Below are 21051 nucleotides of genomic sequence, written 5' to 3'. Positions count from 1 at the left end.
TGACCACGGTTCCTTCTGCGTCATTTTGGGGGATCCCTTTTCCATCAAAGGAGCTAGCTTGGTGTTATTTTTCAGAGACTTGAGCACGCACTTTCATTCGGAGGCTGGGAGCTGAGAACCCCTGCAGCTGTTTCATGCTCCGAGCTACTCAGTGAGATACTCTGTTAAAAAGGCAGTGTGGTGGAGGGTGTGATCGCTTGGGGTGCCATCGACAGCACACTCACGTCCCTGTGTTGCTCACGGGGTCAGGTAGAGTAAAACTCATTGAACGTGGCCTGGTTTTTGTGTGTGGTGGTGAACAGAGTTGTTAATACGACTCTCGGGCAGCTCCTAGTGTTCTTAAGAGGCAGGGCTGGTGGGGGAAGGTCGTGTGCTAGCTGTGAACTTGGCAGTTATTTTCACTCGGGAAGGACGTTGGGAGGAAGAGGATTAAAACTATGCTTTCCGTTATTTTTTGCCGGGAGGGTTGTACCTTTTTCTTGCTCTCTAAGGGCTCTCTGCGTGTGTTTTAAGAGCTTTACTGGGGTGTGATCCACAGCAATAAACTGAGCACATGTAAAGTGACTGGTGAGTTTCGACAAATGTGCATGCACGTGGAGCCATCACCCCAGGGTCAGCATGGTGAACCCTACCCCCAGCACGGCCTCTGCCTCTCTCTAGCCCTCCTTCCTGTCCCTCCCACGCCCCTTGTCCCATCTGCTTTCTGTCACTGCAGGGGAGTCTGTGTGTTTTAGAATTTTATATAAATGCAGTCAGACAGCGTAGTAGTCTGTTCTTACATTGCTATAAAAAAATACCCAAGGCTGGGTGACTTATAAAGGAAAGAGGTTGAATTGACTCACAGTTCCACATGACTGGGGACAATCATGGCAGAAGGCGAAGGGGAAGCAAGTACCTTCTTCACATGGCGGCAGGAGAGACAGGAGGGCAGAGGAAACTGCCATTTATGAAGCCACCAGATGTCGTGAGAACTCACTCGCTATCATGAGAACCGCCTGGGGGAAGCTGTCCCCATGATCCAGTCACTTCCCTCCCTCCACACGTGGGGATTACAGTTGGAAATGAGGTTTGGTGGGGACACGGAGCCAAGCCATATCACATGGTGTGTACTCTCTCTTTTCTGGCTTCAACTCGGTGTGATTATTTGAGAGTCATCTGTGCTGTATCAGTAGTTCATCCCATTTTATTTGAGTGCTTTTCCATTATAGATACACCAGAAATTGTTTATGCTTTCATCCTTTGGTGTACTTTGGAGTTGCTTCCAATTTATGGCTATCAGAAATAAAACTGCTTGGAATGACCCAGGTACAAGCCTTTGTAAGGCCACACACTTGCCTTTCGCTTGCTTAAAACACCTCAGGTGGAATGGCAGGTCCTACATGAGGAGTATGTTTAACTTTCTACAAAACTGCAGGGCTGTTGTCAGAGAGGCTCCCACCAGTGGTGCCCAGGAGCTCTGGTTGCTCCACATCCTGGAGAGCACCTGATCTTTTTAGTTTTAGCTATTTTAGTGAGTGTGTAGTGGTGTCGCTTTAAGGATTTAATTTATGTCTCCCTAATGACTAATGATGTTGGGGCTCTCTCCGTGTGCTCATTTGCATCCGTCTGCCACCTTTGGCGAAGGGTCTATTCAATTGCCCACTTTTTTTTTTTTTGAGACGCGGAGTCTCTCAGTGTTGCCTGGGCTGGAGTGCAGTGGCATGATCTCGGCTCACTGTAAGCTCCGCCTCCTGGGTTCACGCGATTTTCGTGCCTCAGCCTCCCAAGTAGCTAGGACTAGAGGTGTGCACCACCACGCCCTGCTAATTTTTTGTATTTTTAGTAGAGATGGGGTTTCGCCATGTTGGCCAAGCTGGTCTCGAACTCCTGACCTCAAGTGATCTGTCCTCCTCGGCCTCCCAAAGTGCTGGGATTACAGGCATGAGCCACCACGCCCAACCTGGGTTATTTTCTTACTGAGTTTTGAGGATTCTGCATACATTCTGGATCCAAGCCCTTTATTAGATGGATGCTTTCTAAAGAGTCTGTCCGTTCTGTGCCTTGTCTTCTCATTCTCTAGCAGTGTCTGCTGAAAAGCCGAAGTTTAACATTTTGATGAAGTCCAGTTTATCCTTTTGTTCTTTTATGCATTTCGTTTCTGATGTTGTTTCTAAAATTTCTTTGCCTAACCCTGGGTCAGAGAAATGTTCTCCTGTTTTCTTCTGGAAGTTTTAGGTTTTACATTTAGGTCTGGATCCATTTTGAGTTGATGTTGGTACACACTATGGGGTGTCGGTCCAGGGGTTTGCCTGTGTCTGTCCAGTTGTTCCAGCATGTGAGAAGCCCGTCCTCACCACTGAATTGCCTTTGTCCATCCGCGTGTGGGCCTGCTTGTGGACTCTGCACGGCCGTGTTGATCTGTTTAACTTTGCACCAACACTGTGCTGTCCTGGTTACTGGAGCTTTTTTTAGACGGGGATCTCACTGTGTCACCCAGGTTGGAGTGTAGTGGGGTGATCTCGGCTCACTGCAGTCTCTGTGTCCCGGGCTCAAGCAGTCTTCCCACCTCAGCCTCCTGAGTAGCTGGGACCACAGGCGTGCCCACACCGTCTAATTTTTGTATTTTTAGTAGAGATGGGACTTCACCATGTTTCCCAGGCTGGTCTTGAACTCCTGACCTCAGGCGATCCGCCTGCCTTGGCCTCCCAGAGTGCTGGGATTACAGGTGTGAGCCCGGCCCTGAGATTACTGGAGCTTTCTTTTTCTTTCTTTCTTTCTTTTTTTTTTTTTTTTTTTTTTTGAGATGGAGTCTTGCTCTGTTGCCCAGGCTGGAGTGCAGTGGCATGGTCTCGGCTCACTGCAACCTCCACCTCCCGGCTTCAAGCGATTCTCCTGCCTCAGCCTGGCGAGTAGCTGGGATTACAGGTGTGCGCCACCACGCCCAGCTAATTTTTGTATTTTTAGTAGAGACAGGGTTTCACCATGTTGGCCAGGCTGGTCTCGAACTCCTGAGCCCAAGCAGTCTCCCCGCCTCGGCCTTCCGAAGTGCTGAGCTTTCTAATGCATCTTGAGATCAGCTCGTGTCAGCTCTCTGACTTTTTCTGGTTTGTTTGGTTTGAGAGGGAGTCTCATTCTGTTACCCAGGCTGGACTGCAGTGGTGTGCTCTTGGCTCACTGCAACCTTCGCCTCTCTGGTTCAAGCGATTCTCGTGCCTCAGCCTCCACTACAGGGGTGCACCACCATGCCCAACTAATTTTTTGTGTTTTTAGTAGAGACAGGGATTCACCATGTTGGCCTGGCTGGTCTCGAACTCCTGGGCTCAAATGATCTGCCCGCCTTGGCCTCCTGAAGTGCTGGGATGACAGGCGTGAGCCACTGCGGCCAGCCTGACCTTTTTTTACAGTTGTGTTGGTTAATCTAAGACTTTTGCATTTCTGTATGAATTTCAGAATCACCTTGTCAGTTTCTACACAGGAGGCTGCTGGGACTTTGGGATGCATTGCTTCTGCAGATCAGTTTGGGAGGAGTTGACATCTTAACTATTGTGAGTCTCCTGACCCATGAACACAGTGCACGTCCCTTCACTTGCTCGCATTTTTGTTTTAATCAGCATTTTGTAGTTTTAGGGGAGGATGAATCAAAGTTCATGATTTTACAATAGTATCTGCAATGTGCGGGGGGGGGGCTGCAAGTGCTGGACCAGGAGCTGCGTCAGAAGTTTAATTTTTAGCAAAATATTCGGGTTACAGTGGTGGTAGCGCCTGCGCCGGGCAGCACATGTTCCCCTGTGCTGCTTTGCGCCGTCCCTTATGCCTGCCAAACCCCGAGAGGTGGGAGAGAACACTTGCTTTAGCCAGAACAGGTTAGAAGGAAGATGAGGCTGTGCATCTGTCACAGCACAGCACCCGCTTAGAGAGAAAGCCAGCCTGTGTAAGGAGCGCACGCTGGATTCTGGAGGGGCCCTTTCCACATCTGGGCCATCACCACGTGTGTTCTGTCCACCACTGGTCCCAGCTGGTAGCATGGAGAGGGTTCGAATGTCCTAGTTACAGAGGGAAGTGGGCCTGCAAACCCTCAGGCTTCAGACCACCCCTTTCCACTGCAGGGAAACACCACTTTTGCTCATCTCTTTGGCCCTTTTGGTAGCTTATTCCTTGAGGACCATGCTCCTCTCTGCTGGGGATGAGGCTGCCTGCTGGTGGCTCCGTTTGTGTTTTCTGGGCCTTCCAGAGGGGCTGCCTTTATTCTGCAGCCAGCCCTGACCCTTCCCACCTCTCCATGCTTGGGTGAAGAGTGAGGCCCAGGGCAGCTGACTGACAGCACAGCTGTCCTCTGCGTTTTCCTGGACAGAAACCATCGCAGGCCCACCCACCTCCTGACTGCACAGGTCTCCACGGCGCAGACACTTTCGTGATACCATTATAAATACAGCTGGGAAAGGGAGGGAGGGATTTTCTTAGATTTGTGTCCCCAGGGGTCCATCCTGGGGTGTTCTTGCCCCTCTAAGACCTTGGCGGGCCTGGAGGGCCCGCTCCGCCTCTGATGCTGTCCGCCGCTGGCCGCTGTGTGCCTGAGTTTCGGAGCGCCCTCCCGGGCTTTGGACCTGCCCTGCTCCCCAGGGATGCACTCACTCACAGAGCGGCCACTGCACACAGTGCCTCTCTGTCGCCGTCTGAGGTGCCGGCTGTCTTTTTTTTTCTTTTTTTAAATATTTAAAAATGTAAAACTTTAAGTGAGACTCTGTTTCAAAAAAAAAAGTATAGAACTTTAATCATATGCCTGTTTTGAAGAGCAGAGCTTTCAGTGAGAAACAAACTCTGCTGGCCCACCCACCCCCTTTTAACTGCCTCTCAGAGGGGACCACTTTGGAACGTGTATCCACATGGCCCTGCCTGTACAGCCACCTCCTGAGGTTGCCGAGTGAGTGTCAGCTAGCGACCGTCTGGCTGCCCAGCCGCAGTCCGCAGAGCCCCGGCCCAGCCCACGCAGCCCTGGCCGACTCCGCGTTGGGCGCGCACGGCCCTTGGCTGTGAACACGCTGTTTGAGTCGAGCCAAGTGCTGTGCTGCTTCTGCTCCCTGTGCAGGCAGCTGTGTCTCAGCAGCTAGAAGGGCTGTGGGTTCCCAGGTGCTTACTGCCCTGTGGCCAGCCCCAGCGCCCTGGCCCTCCGGACCCTGTGCCTGGCCATGCCTGTTCCTCCCTTCTGCTTCATCCTTGAGAGTCCCCTTGTTTCCTTGGGGTTCAGTCCCATGTTTCCTGGATCCTGTCTTTTGTTTTCTTCACTTATTCCCTTGTTTAAGTGGCTTCTCCCTTCTTACAGAATATACCTTTTTTGAGACCTAGTGTGTCTGAAATGCCTTTTTTTGCCTCTGAGCCTTGGTGGGTGGTTTGGCCTGGCGTTGAGTTCCAGGTGGAAGGTAATTTCCCGGGGGGTTTCGAAGGTGCTGGCCATCTCTTCCCGTTTCTGTGGAGCTCTCAGGGCTGCTGAGCTCTCCTTCCCCGTACTGTGGCTGGGATCTGTGTTTTTCCCCTGGAAACACGGGGAAGGTCTTTCCTTCCCAGTGGTCTGGCTTCTGTGGTGAGGCTGGTGTGCGCCTCCTTCCTCATGTTCACGCTGGCTCCAGCAACTGCTGTCCTTTCTGTCCTCCTAGAATTTCTGTTGATCACCTGTTGTGTTTTCTGGAATGCTCCTTCACATTTTCTCATCTGTTCTTCCAAGTTTCCACTCTCTTTTTCTATACTGTATTCAGGGGGAATGCCTCGGTGCTGTCGTCTGGTCATCCCAGGAATTTTTAATTTGACTGTCGTATTGGATAATCTTTGTGATTTTGAAGAGGGTTTCTTGCTTATTTTGATCAGTTCACTGCTTTGGTGTCTGGGTTGATGCTGGGCCTTCCTCAGGTGGCTGGTGGTCCCTGGCTGTTTGCCCATCTGGTGGAGGGGCTGGTATTGAGCTGCGACATGACGGTGAGATGGGACAGAAGTCCTAACAAAGCTTCCCATTACCAGACACCCAGAAAGGCTGGGGAAGTTGGATAAATGTTCTTTTAAATGAAGAGTTTAGCGTTCTAGAAGATAAGGAAAACCAGCAGGGCTCAGACGTGGAGCTGGACAGCAGCTGAGGGTTGGGACCTTGTGTCCCCGTGGGCTGGCAGGGGCGACTGTTCAGCGCCTGGCTCCGTGCCCCTGATGCTTGTGCCAGAGAGTCCTGTAGCCTCAGGAGGAGAGCTGGGGCTGAGAGCCCCTCAGGACCAGAAAGAGCCCCCCCACCGGCAGAGGGCACAGCGGTGCCTGCAGCCTGTCCTGTGCGTTGGGAGGGAGGAAATGCCCCTCTGAGAATCCACAGGGGCCTGTCGTCCTGGGCTGGGGCTGGGGCTGGTGCCATGCTCCGGAGTGACTTGCATAGCAGGATGGTCACAGCCCTGGGTTTGGCAGAGGTGAACATGGACCCCTGTGGAGGGATGTGTCCTGACCTGGGCTACACAGGAGAGCCACAGACAGAGCCAAGCCAGGGCGGGTGGTGCAGGGCCAAGAGGTAGCCGGGGCTGGGCCTCAGGAGGCCAGGGCGGAGTCCACAGCCCCAGGCCCAGGGCCGGGGTTTGTGCTGAGAGTGCGGGGCGGCCTGCGGCACCCGGCAAAGGCATTTCCCCCACAGGTGGGGGTTCCCAGGGTGCAGGTGCCCGTGTGGTTGTGGCACAGCTTCGCATGCTCTACATTTTGGCTTCAAGTACAGTAAAAGTGTTACCTACAAAAGGAATCAGGAAAACTGTTGTGTGGGGTAAGAACCCTGGTGTTTCTCCTCAGGGAGGGTGGGATTCACTCACACTGTGGGAATCGGTGGCGGCATGCTGAGCTGGGGACGTGGGTCCCTGGAAGGCTCTGGGGGAGGCACTGGTCACCACTGGTCACCACTGGCCACTGGCCAGGCTTTGGAGGAGTGCACGCTGCTCCTTCCCCAGGGAGGCGTCTCGTGGCCACTGCTGGCTCTGCATTGCCCGCCTCAAGCAGTGTGGCCTTGAACCGCTGGGAGAGTGGAGAGTTTCACACTGTTTCAGTTTCAAAACCTACATTTTCACCATAATGAAAAATAGAAAATAGCTTAAATCTTCACCAGAAGGAAATTATAAACACAATTTGGATGAAATAGTATGTAGCCACGGACAGTTACGTTTCTGAAGAATGTTTACTGCCATGGGAAGTGCGCCCGGGGAGCGGGCAGGGAACGGGGGAGCTGGCAGGGAACTCGGGCGGGTGGCCTCCGTGGTCCTTACGGCTTCCAAGTGCACGGTGCACACTGAGTGGCACCTGAGCTGTGCCAGCCAGGAGAGGGGCTTCAGGAGGTTTCCATTGTTCTTGTACTTCTCTGCACTTATTAAACTTTCTGTGAAGAACACTTCTTTCTGTGGTAAGGAAGATATTAGGACAATTGGAAGCCCCAGTGCGGTTCTGTTAGCTGGACCCTGACCCATTGTGGTGGTTGTATGTGCACATTGGCTGGTGTGGGGTTTTGGCTGTGCCATGAAGGAGTCTCCAGGAAGGTGGGGTGGGGCAGAGAGAGGGGCTGTGAGCTGGGGAGGTTGCGGGGGAGGCGGCGGTGGCCACAGTGGCCCGGTCAGGAGGCAGGGTCCCAGGCCCCAGCTTCCTGACCTTAACTGTTAATGACCTTCAGGGCTATGCCCCATCCCGTCACCACCTGGAATTGCCCATCTTGGTTGGACGAGGATGCTGAGGGTCTTTGGGACGGATGTCGTGTTTCTTGTTGCAGGTTTGACTGCTTCCTCCCTGACTCGAGGGCTGGGTGCGTGGAGCCGGTTGTGCCTCTGTATCCGAGAGCCCTGCTCCCTGTCATCCTTGGCTCCTCTCTGCATTCCTCACAAAGACCTGGGTGGGGACACGGCCAGTGTCCCACGTGGCTCTCTCTGGGGAGCTCTCAGACAGAACCCTCCGCCCTGGCCTTGGGGTCCCATCTGTGGGGCGGGGTGGGGGCCACACCTGCCACGTGTACCCTGCTGCAAGTGCAGAGAGAGGAGTAGAGGCAGGAGGGGCGGCTGCCTTTCGTAGGTCAGGTGCCGCCCGTAACCACGGTTGATTACTCTTAAATTAGTTATGTCTTGAGACGGAGTTGCACTTCTTTGCCTTGGCGTGAATAGATGCTGCTGGATTATTTGTCCGTAAACAGAGCTCACAGGACCCAGAACTGTGAGAACCTCTCGGAAACATGGCGTGGATGCAGCCGTTGGTGTTCTGAGTGTCCTCAGATCATCACACAGTGTCTGACTTTGCTTTTTGGTACAGTCAGGCTGTGATACAATAACCAGGGAGGCGGACAAGAAAGTCCCCAGTGACAGCGCCTCTTATGTGCTGTTTGTTGGAAGCAAACCTCAGTTCGGCTTAGGAGACGTGGCCACTCGCGCTTGGTTCACAGATATTTTCAATGCCTCGAGAAGCTACGTTGTACCTGCCTGAAGTCACATGGTCACTTCTTGTGGGACGTTTGATTCCTTCTCCAACTTTCCTGACCACAAGGGACACTGGGCCCGACCACAGGGCACATTTTCACAGTGACCCATGGCTGTTTCCCTACACTTCTGTGATGTCCAGAATGCCACTTTTATTTTGTTAGAATTTTAACCACATTGCTATTTTGTTAATACTTTTTTTTTTGAACGTATTCCTTTAAATATATCTGGATACTTTTTTTTTTCTTTTTTTTTGAGGTGGACTCTTGCTCTGTCGTCCAGGCTGGAGTGCAGTGGTGCAATCTCGGCTCACTGCAACCTCCGCCTCCCAGGTTCAAGCGATTCTGCTTCAGCTTCTGAAGTAGCTGGATTACAGGCATGCACCACCACACCTGGCTAATTTTTTGGATGCAATTTTTTTAAATTATTATTTTAATTTTTTGAGACGGAGTCTCGCTCTGTCGCCTAGACTGGAGTGCAGCGGCACGATCTCAGCTCACTGCAAGCTCTGCCTCCCAGGTTAATGCCATTCTCCTGCCTCAGCCTCCCAAGTAGCTGGGACTACAGGGGCCCGCCACCATGCCTGGCTAATTTTTTTTTTTTTTTGTATTTTTAGTAGAGATGGGGTTTCACCGTGTTAGCCAGGATGGTCTCTATCTCCTGACCTCGTGATCTACCCGCCTTGGCCTCCCAAAGTGCTGGGATTACAGGCGTGAGCCACCGTGCCTGGCCTTGGATGCAATTTTTTAAAGCACAAAGCTCCTGATAATTAAAGTCTCTTCACTCACTATGAGAATGTCAGGTTTGACATTGGGTGTGGAGGCACTGGGACGGACACTGAAGCCTCCTTTGTCCTGTTTCCGTCCCATTCCCATGTGTGCACTTAAGTCTGCGTCCATTATTGGCTTCTCAGAATTCCTTAAAAACATTTTTTTTTTTTGTTTTTAGGAGATGGGGTCTCACTCTGTGGTCCAGGCTGGAGTGTGATGATGCGATGGTAGCCCACTGCAGCTTCCAGCTCCTGGACTCAGATGATCCTCCCACCCTAGCCTCCCAAGTAGCTGGAACTACAGGTGTGCCACCACGCCTGGCTAATTAAAAAAAAATTTTTTTTTTGCAAAGATGGGGTCTCACTATATTGCCCAGTCTGGTCTCGAACCAGCCTCAAGTGATCCCTCCATCTTGGCCTCCTAAAGTGCTGGATTTCAGGTGTGAGCCACCACACTCACCCTGGCTTCTCAGAATTCTTGAGGAGGAGGAGCAAGGTGTCTCCGAATGCAGTGAATGAAGTGTTGGGTTTGAGGACATTGTATTAGCGTACTCTAAAGGGACAGAACTAATAGGAGAGATGAATCTATGAAGGGGAGTTTATTAGGAGAATTGACTCTCAGGATCACAAGGTGAAGTCCCTCAATAGGCTGTGTGCACCTGAGGAGCCCGGAAGCCAGTCTGAGTCCCCAGATCTCAAAAGTAGGGAAGCCGACAGTGCAGCCTTCAGTCTGTGGCCAAAGGCCTGAGAACCCCTGGCAAACCACTGGTGTAAGGCCAGGAGTCTAAAAGCTGAAGAACTTGGAGTCTGAAGTTCCAGGGCAGGAAGCATCCAGCTCTGGAGAAAGATGGAGGCCGGAGGACTCAGCCAGTCCAGTCCTTCCACGTTCCTCTGCCTGCTTTATTCTAGCCACGCTGGCAGCTGATTAGATGGTGCCCAGCCACATTGACGCTGGGTCTGCCTCTTCCAGTCCGCTGACTCAAATGTTAACCTTCTTTGGCAACACCCTCACAAACACACCCAGGAACAATACTTTGCATTCTTCAATCAAGTTGACACTCCATAATAACCACATACATGGGGGTATTTACCAGGTGTCTTGTTTTGGGGTCCCCAGGCGCCGAGTGTGCTTGGGTGAGAGTGGAACTCTCCCTCGTTACGCGCAGCAGCTCTGGCGGCCACATGGCTGATGAGTGCCCACCTGGCTTTGAAGGCTGTCCTTGGGCACTGTGGGCACAGACTCGGAGACGGAGCCTTGGAGGCCTTTCCTGTTACTTCGTTCCCGAGCTCCAGGCTTGGAGATTCCAGCAGGTTATTTGCTGCAGCTGGGTGTTTGGTTTTTGTTTGATTTCAGCATGGTTTATTTTGAAAGGGGCGTTTTGGGGGGAAGTTTTCTTAATGGGCATAAATGTGGCTTTTTGGATCAAGAATTTTAGATGTTAGCCCAGGAGAGGCATCACCATTATTCTTGATACCATGCTGAGTTTCGAAAGAGCTGGAGCCGACAGCCCTGAGAGTGCCCCAGCGTCATAGCGCAGGAGGAGGAAGCCCCACGCTCATTTGTCATCATGACCAACAGGAGGTTTTCAGGCCTTACTTCATCTTTTTCGAGGTTATCATTTCCCATTCTCCATAAAGGGGAGGAAGGAGAGGCTGGGAAACGCAGTGGCCGCCCCCTGTGCCCCGTGGCTTGGCCAGTGTGTGATGGGTGGTGGGGACGGCCGGTGGCGGTGCCTCATTGCACGTGTGTTTAGTTTCTCAGCTCCTTGGTGCTGGGCTGTCTGCCGAGGCTTCACTCGGGAAAGAGTGCAGTGTTTATAGCCCTGCTCCCACGGCTGCATCCCCACCTCTGTCATGGGAAGTTAAATTTAAAAGTTGGACAATTGTGTTGCTGTTTCTAATGGAATTTATGATATAACTGGTTGCTGTTTTTTGAAGCTAACATTAATGCCAAACCTGAATGGCAGGATTTGCTTTCCTGTGGTTTAGCTCAAGAACCATGACGGGCAAATGGTTCTCCTGTCCTAAGGGTTGCGTCGCATCTGCGCCTGTGTTGTGGTTGTCAGGGCAGTGTGGGGGCAGCACTGCCCTGCCTCCCGAGAGGAGGGTTCTGGTGAGGAGCCTCGTGGCCCACCCTCCCTCTGTTGGGTCTGGGTGTCACAGGACAGCAGGCTGGGAGACCCTGGAGTATGGGCCGTAGACATGGTTGTGCCCTCTAGGCCCAGCCCAGCGGACGTGGCCCTGGCACAGGCAGGAGGTGGGGGCAAGGAGACTGGCATGTCTGTGGGGTGTATGGGCTGGTTGGGGGCATGGGGGCACGTGGTGTGGCCGGTGGAAGCCATTGCTACACTGCCTTGCTGTCCAGCTCATTCATAAAAGGAAGGCTCAGGTGCCATTTTTTTTCCATGGCCTTTTAACAACCTTTACAGTTTTTTTGTCTTGTATACCATCTTGACTCACAAGTGTGTTTTGAGTTTGGGGGATTCGTGTGTTTAAGACTTGATTTCCTTTGTTTCCTTCTCACAGCTGTCAGCTTCCCCTGGGTCAGGCCAGGGCCTCCTCATGGCTCTGGGGTGGTTGCGTTCCTGACGCCAGGTCTCCTTTGTCTGCAGGAATGGTCCTCGTCCGAAGTGAGAATGGGCAGTTGTTAATGATTCCTCAGCAGGCCTTGGCCCAGATGCAGGCGCAGGCCCATGCCCAGCCTCAGACCACCATGGCGCCTCGCCCTGCCACCCCCACAAGTGCCCCTCCCGTCCAGATCTCCACCGTACAGGTGAGTGCACGTGTGCCCTGGAGTGCGAACCCCTTCCCTGCCCAGCCCCTCTCCCCACGCATGCTGGGGAAACCTGCAAGGGCCAGGCACAGCCATGGGAGTGAGGACTGGGAAGTGTGGGCGGCGTCCCAGTCCCATCCGTCCCATCTAGGATGGGCCCGGGACGGCGCTGCTCTCCTGTCCTCCTCTCGGTGGCAGGGCTGTGCCTGTCTCAGAGACACCAGCTCCCGCAGCCCACTGCAGGGCGGGCCGAGTGGGGTCAAAGTGAGCAGTCCAGGGTTGGCCGCTCTGGCCCCTTCCCTTCTCTCCCTGTGGCTTCACCTTCCTGTGCCTGTCCCCTCATCTGCAAAGTAGAGATGGTGCTAGGACTCCACTGGCAGGACCGCCACCAGCGCCGCATGGAGACTTTTAAGGCACCAAGAGTCCTGGAGCCGCTGTGTGCGAGTGGGGTTGGCTGCTGCTGTTAGGGGGTGCCAGAGGGACACACACACACACACACATACACACACACACACACACACACACACCCACACCCCCGCGTCAGCCTTCAGGGCCGAAGCTCCCGACTCCTGAGCTGTGGTAGGGAGCACGGATTCACACACACACACACACACACACACACACACACACACACACACACCCGCGTCAGCCTTCAGGGCCGAAGCTCCCGACCCCTGAGCTGTGGTAGGGAGCACGGATTCTGACTTGGAGGGCAGAGTGCCCAGGACTTGCCTCTCCCGGCGTGTGTCTGTGTCTGGCCCCATGACTGTCACCTGCACGTGCCCGCACGCTGCGTGTTCCTGCCCCGTCTCCTGCCGTGTTTCCCTGGCACTGTGATGCTGCTGCTCTGAATGACCTGGCAGGTTTGTGAAGACTGGAATGACTTGATCAGCATCCTTCTCCTGCTACGTGAGCTGCGTACCCTCTGGAGTTGTGCCTCTGTCCCATAGACAGGGACGTGGACGGACGTGCCGGAGGCTGCCAGAGACCACCCAGATCTGAAGTAGCACAGAACGGTGTCCTCAAGTCTGCAGCATCTGTCTGCTGAGTGGGACACTGTGGAAGACACTCGTGGCTTCACTTGCACTGTGGGCATCCCATTGCAGTCTGCCATCTGCTCTTTCCATGTCAGTCTCTCTCCGACAAACTTCATGGGCTCAGGACTTGTGGCGTCCCTCTGTCCTGGGCAGCCACCTTCCTTCCCCTCTCTGGCACTGACTGGCCATCTAGCCTAGGGGCGGCCACCTCCCTACCCCTTTGCGACACTGACTGGCCGTCTGCCTTTGCATCCTTTTTAGTGATTGTTAACGAGGTCACAAGCCAGCAGCACGAGGATTGATTTCTAGATACCTGCGTTCTTCAGAGATGACCTTTTGTAGACTCTGTTAAGAAGCCTAATGATATGTTTATTGTAGTATAGGAAAATGTTTGTCATACACTTGTTCTTTGGTAAGAAAACTTTAGAATTACAGTGGCTTCATTGCAGATCACGGATAAGCCTGGGACCCACTTGGATATACTAGTTACATATGGAAGGAATAATTTCTGTGTACCTGGGGGTGGGAATTCCTTTTACTTGCGCTCGTTTTAGGTGACTCTGCTTATTTTTCAGGCACCTGGAACACCTATCATTGCACGGCAGGTGACCCCAACTACCATAATTAAGCAAGTGTCTCAGGCCCAGACAACGGTGCAGCCCAGTGCAACCCTGCAGCGCTCGCCCGGCGTCCAGGTGAGAGGGCAGGCGGCGGATCTCTTGAGGCTGCAGGGGCCACGAAGTGTGATTTCTTTGATGCAGAGATCAGGCCTTAGGAGTTTTTTTTTTTTTTTAAACTGGATACTACGTCAAATCTGGGGAGGAAGGTTCTCTGTGAAGAAAGTGCTTTTTCTTTGACCACCAACATGGGATAAGTCAGGATTTCTTTTTTTCTTTTTTCTTTTTTTTAGTCACACAGAATTTAACACCAGCAGCACTGTTCAAGCTTTCCACCATGTTGGAAGCATTAAAACTATGTCCTTACTAGTACTTGATCATAAGGCATGTCTGAAGCAGAAGCAGCCTGCGGTGAGGACAGTGTGTGTGTGCACATGTGGCCTTGTGTGTAACTTGAGGACGGCGGCTGTCGCTAAGGTGAACGTGGCCGAGGCGTCGCTCTCACTGTTGCAGGCACATGGACCGTAACTTTCACCGCACCCTGGGAAGCAGATGACATCGCTCCCTTCATCTCGTGGTGCGGCGCTTACACTGAGGCAAGGGAGGCTCTGGGACTCACTCCCGGCCATGCCACCTGCACGGTGCCTGCCACGCCACGCTGCCACCTGCCGCTCACATCCCTCGTCTGTAGTGAGAGCATCGTTCTAGAAGGGTTCTGTATCCACCCTGGTGGCCGCTGGTTTCTAGAACAGCGTTTTCATCTGCAGAGAGGAGCGTGTCCCAGAGCAGGTGCTGGCCCCTCTCCTAGTGGTGCTGATGCTCCTGACAGCTCAGCCTTTGGCCTGCAGATCCCAGAAGGGTTTGTGTGCAGGCCAGGCTGTTCTGGAAGGGGTGGCGGAGGTGTGTGGAGGGGAAGGGGCTGGCCGGTCAGACGCACCTGGTGAGGGAAGCAGCTTTCTCTGGGCAGTCAGCAGGAAGCAGCTGGGAGAAAAATGGTTCAGGGGTTTTTCTTGGTCACCTGGTGTCTGTGAGCATCCGTGGATGCGTAGGTCTCTATGGTGTTGGTCGCTGCTGGTGAAGCACCTGCCATGAGCCAGGCAGTGGGCCTGGACGCTCTGCAGAGAGATCCAGAGTCCTTGCCTCAGTGCCACAGGCCCTTTTCCCATTGCTCAGTGGTGAAATGGAGGCTGAGCCCCAGGGGGTGTGGACTCCAGGGGCAGCTCCCCCCGCAACCCCGGCTCTTCTACCCTCACTGGGTCATGTCCTGGCTGGCTGCAGCTGCAGTGGGTGAAAGTGGGTGGAAGGGCGGTTCAGTACCAGGGAGATGTGTGCTGGCCTTTGGTGCAGGCCCCGCCCTTGGTGTTTTCCCTGAAGGAGCTTGCTCAGTCCTGTGCTCTGATTGGTGCGTCTGGATTTTTGGTTACAGTGACTTTTTTGAGAAGGTAGTTGGAGCTTATGGTTAAGTTTTTGCATTATACTTAGTGGCAGACACAATCTGGATATCATCTGAGTGAAATATGTGTTCTTAGGAGTGGAAGTAAGTGTGAGGAGTCAGTTTTGATGGGAAAGAAGACTCCCAAAAGATGAGGTGGGTCCTGGGTACTCCCAGGGTCCAGAAGCAGCAGCTTGGTGTGTCCTTTTATGTTTTCTTCACTGGAGGTTTTTATTTGATGTTTTTCAGTTAAAAAAAAAATCCATGCTTATTGTTACAAGTGAAAAGATACACAGACTTAGAAACAGTCCCTCCACCCTGCTGCCTCCTCACAGCCCATCCGCACCCCTCTGGAAGCGGGGCTGGTTCAGAGTTGCTTCCCACGTGCTGGCGGGGCTGCACCCACCGGGAGAGAGCTCGCTGCTCCGGAGCCATTCTCAGGCTTACACTGCCCCCTGCTTTCAGAAGTTGCAAAGGAGTGTTTAAAAAATTGGAGACAGAAAATGTTGACTGCTAGATTTATACATTGGAAAAGTACTAGTTTAAAATATCAGTAAACATTTGCATTCTGATTATTCATGTAGAATGGAAATGTTAGGAATCGAGTACAGGCCACTGAGTTGTCTGAGCTACCTTTTGGCGTCTGGCTGTTCATTTGCTTAGCAAAGCAGCCCCTCCTTTCTGACAGTTTGACACTGATGACCCATCCTCCATTGCTCGAATCTGCTCTGAAAACTCCCCTCTGTGGGAGGCTTCTTGTTGACACTCACTTTTGGGGAGTAAAGAAAGGTGGGTTTGGGTGATTGCAGGGAGCTGGGGACCCTCCCCTATGGGAGGCTGCGGCTGTGGAGCCCTGACCGCCCTGTAGCCAGCCTCTGCACCTGGGAGGATGGAGCTTTCAGGAGCCGTTCTTCTGTTTGTTGTTTTGATTTCTGAGAGATGGGGATCTGGGTTGCCTGTTAGGATTATTTACTCTGGTCTCTATGTGACTTTTTCCATGGACTTCTGAGGACTGGGGTCTCTGCAGTGCCTGGCTTTGTGAACGTCCGTTTTTGATGCAGGTGCAAATCATGCCTTCCTCACCCGCTCAGGACTGCGATCGTCAGGGCACAGGGCAGGCCTCCCAGCAGCACTCCCGTGTCCAGCGGGCTGGCAGGTGGCCGGGGTCCTTGGCTTCCTGGGCGTCCTGGCCACCGCAGGGAGGCTTGTTTTCTTTTGCTGGGCGTGAGGCTGGTCTCCCCCTCGTCAGCTGGTGGCGTGAGATGCCCTTACCTTGTGTTTTTGGATTCTTGTAGCCTCAGCTCGTTCTGGGTGGCGCTGCCCAGACGGCTTCACTTGGGACGGCGACGGCTGTTCAGACGGGGACTCCTCAGCGCACGGTACCAGGGGCGACCACCACTTCCTCAGCTGCCACGGTAAGAGCCACTCCTTTCCGTGCCTTCAAAGACGGTCAGGCCCGTGGCGCAGGTCAGAAAATGCAGCCTTGAGACCTCAGGCCGGCTTCTGTCCCAGACCGCTCACTGCTTGCTTCACAAAGCAGTGAACAGTCTGGGGCCCACGTGAGCACGTGGGGCTCTGCTGCTGTGCTGTGTGAGGTGGGCTCCGAGGGCCTTAGACCGCAGAAGTCTGCAAACAGCAAAAGCCCAAACACCTGCCTTTGAAAAAGTCACTGGTGCACTGTCGCGTTGTATGTAAAACAGCAGCGCCACCCGTTTGTACACACTCGTAGTGTCGGCCTGTATCGATACACATCTTTATTAAAACAGAAGAGTCACTGGTGAACTGTTGTGTTCAGTGTGTAAAACAGCAGCGCCACCCGTTTGTACACACAGTGTCGGCCTGTATCGATAGACATCTTTAAACAGTGGGCCCCACTTGACGCCTTTTTGGTGTTTCTTTGCTGCGTACTTTTCGTTGCTTTAGTGACCGCATCCTATTTGGTTCCTTCTGTGTCCGTTTGGATTGGCATAGGTTGTCCTTATGGTCAGCAACATTGTAGCAGGCATCTTCGCAGAGTCTCTTTTCACTTTTTTAATTATTTGCATAGCTGCATTCCTAGATGTGGCCTTGCGGGGCTGAGGGAGATGCTGACTTCGGTGGCCATGTGACTGATGTGGCTGGCCTGCCCCATGGCCCAGGGTTCCAAGAGGTGGTGCGTTTTCTTGAAAGAAGTTTAGAGAAGAAATATATGTATCTTTTGTACATATGCATATTTTAGTAACCAAAGGCTGTGACAAAAATCTGCCTTTTAAGATTTTTCACTTATATCTTTTTACTTTAATCCAGGAAACTATGGAAAACGTGAAGAAATGTAAAAATTTCCTATCTACGTTAATAAAACTGGCTTCATCTGGCAAGCAGTCTACAGAGACAGCAGCTAATGTGAAAGAGCTCGTGCAGAATTTACTGGTGAGAAACCTTGACTTTACATTCCCTTTCCCCTAAAGCCTGTTGCATAGGACAGACACCTGTTGCTGCTGTGACCTGTGCCCGGGAGGCCTGTGCCAGCAGGGAGAGCTCCTCTGGAAGGCTGCAGGCGAAGGGGAGGGGTGCACACGTGTCGAAGGCGTGTGTGGCCTAGCTAAGGAGACTCCTTCCTGGGGCTGGGTGTTCTGGGGCCGGCGCCTGGAGGTCTCCCGGGCTTTGCCGTTTTCTGGTGCCTGCGTCCCTTGTCTGTGGCTCTCTTCTCCTCTGGCTGCCCCAACCATGCTGCACTCTGGTCAGGGTCTCCAGCAACTCCCTTCTGGCCCTCTCCCCACTCCTGTGTGACCTCTTATAAAATTCCCAGGTGTCCGCAGTCCCGGCTGGAACAGGCATTCTGCACCCTGAGCCACCAGAAGCCCCCTCCCCATGGAGCAGACCAGCTGAGGCACATTCGCGCTCCAGTGGCAGAGCCGTCCCCCCCACCCCCACCCCTCCCGAAACCTCTGTCGCAGAGAACAGCACTCTGTCCCCTGGCCGGAAGGTGGGAGGGAGGATTCCTGGCAGCCTCCCCTCTCCTTAACCCACAGTCCCAAGCTCCAGATCTCCACTCATGGCCGAGCTCTCGGCTGTCCACCTTCCTCAGCCTCATGGCTGTCTCGTGGCTCAGGGCTGTGCTGGCGTCAGTGGGATGGCCTGGGGATCTGGAGTGGCTGGTCTTACCGTGCCTTCTCCTTGTCCGCCTGACCATGTCTTCCGGAGTCTCTTAGGGTTCAGTCCAGGCACCGCCTTCCCGCCTTGTCGCCTGTCTTCCCGACCTTTATTCCACACTGGCCTCTGTTTCTGAAACAGGATCTGGCCCTCTTGCTCTGGGCTCCCTTTTGTCTGACTGTAGACTCTGGGCACCCTGGCCGCTTGCAGGGGTGAGCACAGCTGTCATCTGCTCCTGAAGGCGCGGATGCCCTGACTGTGTGGATCCTGTCTGTGTGGCCCCTGGCACGCTGTGACCTCCTGCAGCACCGCACTTGCAGTGCTGGCTTTGATAATGGAGTTACTTTTAGGCTGATCTGCCTCCTAGCAAAATGCCTGACACCGAGTAGGTGCCTGGTAAGCACTGAGTAAAGACTGGCATTGAGTAAGAGACTTAGAAAAAGACGAGAAGTAGACAGGTGACCCTCCCAGGAGGAGACGTGGTCCGCAGCTGGCTGCACTGCAGTGTCCAGGGTGAGCGCCTGTCACACATGTACCTGTGAAAGGTGTAGCACGCAGACTTTCCCATCTCCTCTGTCCAGTGAAACTCGGGGCGGAATCAGCCGTAAAATACGAGACCAGAGTGATGCGGGATTCAGAAGTGTGTGTGGAATCTCATTCACCAGAATTTCAACATGGATTTTATTTTTAAGGATGGAAAAATAGAAGCAGAAGATTTCACAAGCAGGTTATACCGAGAACTTAATTCTTCACCTCAACCTTACCTTGTGCCTTTCCTGAAGGTAATTTCAAAGGCCCCGGTGCCTGCGAGCAGTAGGGCCAGGGAGGGGTGGGGCGCAGATGCACCAAGTGTGCAGGGCGAGGATGCTCCAGGCACGGAGGGTGCACAGCGCTTGTGCTGCCTACGGGGGTGGGGCCGGGGACTCAGTGCCTGGGGACAGAATGTTAGTTTTTTTTCTGTAAAGCAGGAGCTCCCCTGACACGGTGGCCTTGTGGTTCTGTCGTGCGCAAGGTGGTGAGAAGGGCGTGTGCTTCCTGAAAGTGAAGGGGACGGGGAATGGGGTAGCGTTTGCAAAACTGGATAGGACCAAGGGTTTCAACAGCGTCAGGCTGTCTCTGTTGGGTAATCATTGGTATCAGCACATTTTAAAAATCAATACGTATATTTGTACACATTTATGAGGTGTATGTGATGTTTTGTTACAGTCATAGATAGAATCAGGATATTTGGGGTCTGTCACCTTGAGTACTTATTTCCATGTGTTGGGAACATTCAGAATCTTCTCTTCCAGTGATGTTAACATATTTTAAAAAGTTTTTTAAAAATATGTCTCTTTTTGTTTGTTTTCTTGAACACATTTTGGACATTTGCTATCAGGAATAATCCCACTTAGTGGGAGGGCAGGATGGGGTCCTGGCCCTTGACATCCAGACATGCTGCCGTGAGGGCCAAGATCCATCTTACTTAGCTCAAAAGCTTTCTGTAAAAGTTGATATTTCTGAATTTTTAAGCAAGGAAAACCGACGCATGAGCAGCCGCCTGACCCCTCGTGTCTGTCTTTCCACCCAGAGGAGCTTACCCGCCTTGAGACAGCTGACCCCCGACTCCGCGGCCTTCATCCAGCAGAGCCAGCAGCAGCCGCCACCGCCCACCTCGCAGGCCACCACTGCGCTCACGGCCGTGGTGCTGAGTAGCTCGGTCCAGCGCACGGCCGGGAAGACGGCGGCCACCGTGACCAGTGCCCTCCAGCCCCCTGTGCTCAGCCTCACGCAGCCCACGCAGGTCGGCGTCGGCAAGCAGGGGCAACCCACACCGCTGGTATGGAAGGGGCGCCTGACTGGTCTGCACAGCCCACCGTGCCTCTGCTCCCGCCCGCTTCTTAGATAAATTGGCCACGGCTCAGAAACCTTTTCCAAGCATGCAGGAAGCCTCCTGCTAGAGGAAGCTTGGGTATTACCTTAAATAGTTAAAATAGAAACCAGAGGTTGAGGCCCTGGGATGTTGTATTTTGTCTCAGTAAAATGAAATAGTTGAGTTGGCTTTGAACCACCGGCACGTCCCCGCCCTGCCTTGTCTGGGGATGTTACTGGTGTAAATGAATGCAGCGTGCTTTTAGAGGATCTTGTAGATAGATGTTCTCTTGGATTAGGAGCAGCGGTCCAAGCGTAAGACACGGGCACCTGCGTGGGACAGGTGGGCAGGAGACTGGAGGCAGGGTAGCAGCTCACAGCACAGGGTGGATTTAGGTGAGTCCCGGGAGGCGAAGCCGCGGCTGCTCATAGCGGTTCACTTATGTGCAGTTTGGATCTGGCTTTCTTGGTTTTATAGTCATGACGTTTGCTCTGCAGCTAGAGAAAGGATGTCTTTGCCAGAAGAATTACATTTTGAGCACATTCCCTTTCATGGGCAGAGGGATTCACCAAACGTAGAGGGGCAGTTTTAAAAAAATTTCAGAGGTGTTTTCTTCCTCTAAAGACAGCTTAAACAACAAAATGGTGCGGGCTCCCTCATCATGAGCTGGTATGTGTTGTGATGGTGTACACATCAGAACCAGCTGGGTGAGGAGTAGCCATTAGGGGGCTGGCTCTTGTGCTCTGTTCAAGTTGCATTTGTTTTTGTCTTGATAATAGCGAGGAGAACAGGGTGAAATGGCATGGAGGGAGGGTGTCCCTTATAAAGGCCAGGGAAGGGCTGAGCGCCTGTGTAAAGAGAGGGCTTCCTTGCCTGCCTTTTGACTCCAGAGGGAAAGAGATGTGCCGTGCCTCTTGCTTTAGTGTAAGGACAGAACTTCCCTGTTCACTAGTCAGTGGAGCTACTTTACCCAAAAAGGTGGGTTCTGTTTAAGCAGGCAC

At 53.1% G+C, this 21051-nt stretch overlaps 1 protein-coding gene across 2 annotated transcripts in view, besides 3 other annotated features; it reads left to right on the top strand.

Moving 5' to 3' along the window:
• TAF4 (TATA-box binding protein associated factor 4) overlaps positions 1-21051 on the top strand; it is a 91084-nt gene that overhangs the window by 39355 nt on the left and 30678 nt on the right. For both annotated transcript variants that reach the window (NM_003185.4, XM_047440429.1), the window contains 6 exons: positions 11820-11980; positions 13593-13712; positions 16362-16481; positions 17353-17475; positions 18891-18980; positions 19769-20017. In NM_003185.4, the coding sequence (NP_003176.2) occupies positions 11820-11980; positions 13593-13712; positions 16362-16481; positions 17353-17475; positions 18891-18980; positions 19769-20017 (863 nt within the window). The remainder of the gene's footprint in view (positions 1-11819; positions 11981-13592; positions 13713-16361; positions 16482-17352; positions 17476-18890; positions 18981-19768; positions 20018-21051) is intronic.
• Positions 3329-4106: an enhancer, noted in NCBI's record as "H3K4me1 hESC enhancer chr20:60597477-60598254 (GRCh37/hg19 assembly coordinates)". NCBI's record gives its function as "activates a minimal SCP1, AML or CMV promoter by ChIP-STARR-seq in naive H9 embryonic stem cells {active_cell/tissue: H9 hESC(naive)}" and the evidence as "EXISTENCE:reporter gene assay evidence [ECO:0000049][PMID:30033119]".
• Positions 4107-4886: an enhancer, noted in NCBI's record as "H3K4me1 hESC enhancer chr20:60596697-60597476 (GRCh37/hg19 assembly coordinates)". NCBI's record gives its function as "activates a minimal SCP1, AML or CMV promoter by ChIP-STARR-seq in naive H9 embryonic stem cells {active_cell/tissue: H9 hESC(naive)}" and the evidence as "EXISTENCE:reporter gene assay evidence [ECO:0000049][PMID:30033119]".
• Positions 12059-12560: an enhancer, noted in NCBI's record as "H3K4me1 hESC enhancer chr20:60589023-60589524 (GRCh37/hg19 assembly coordinates)". NCBI's record gives its function as "activates a minimal SCP1, AML or CMV promoter by ChIP-STARR-seq in naive H9 embryonic stem cells {active_cell/tissue: H9 hESC(naive)}" and the evidence as "EXISTENCE:reporter gene assay evidence [ECO:0000049][PMID:30033119]".

This window comes from Homo sapiens, chromosome 20, assembly GCF_000001405.40.
Source record: "Homo sapiens chromosome 20, GRCh38.p14 Primary Assembly".
In the NCBI taxonomy this organism is placed as follows: Eukaryota; Metazoa; Chordata; class Mammalia; order Primates; family Hominidae; genus Homo; species Homo sapiens.
This window is presented reverse-complemented; position numbering and strand designations above follow the sequence as displayed.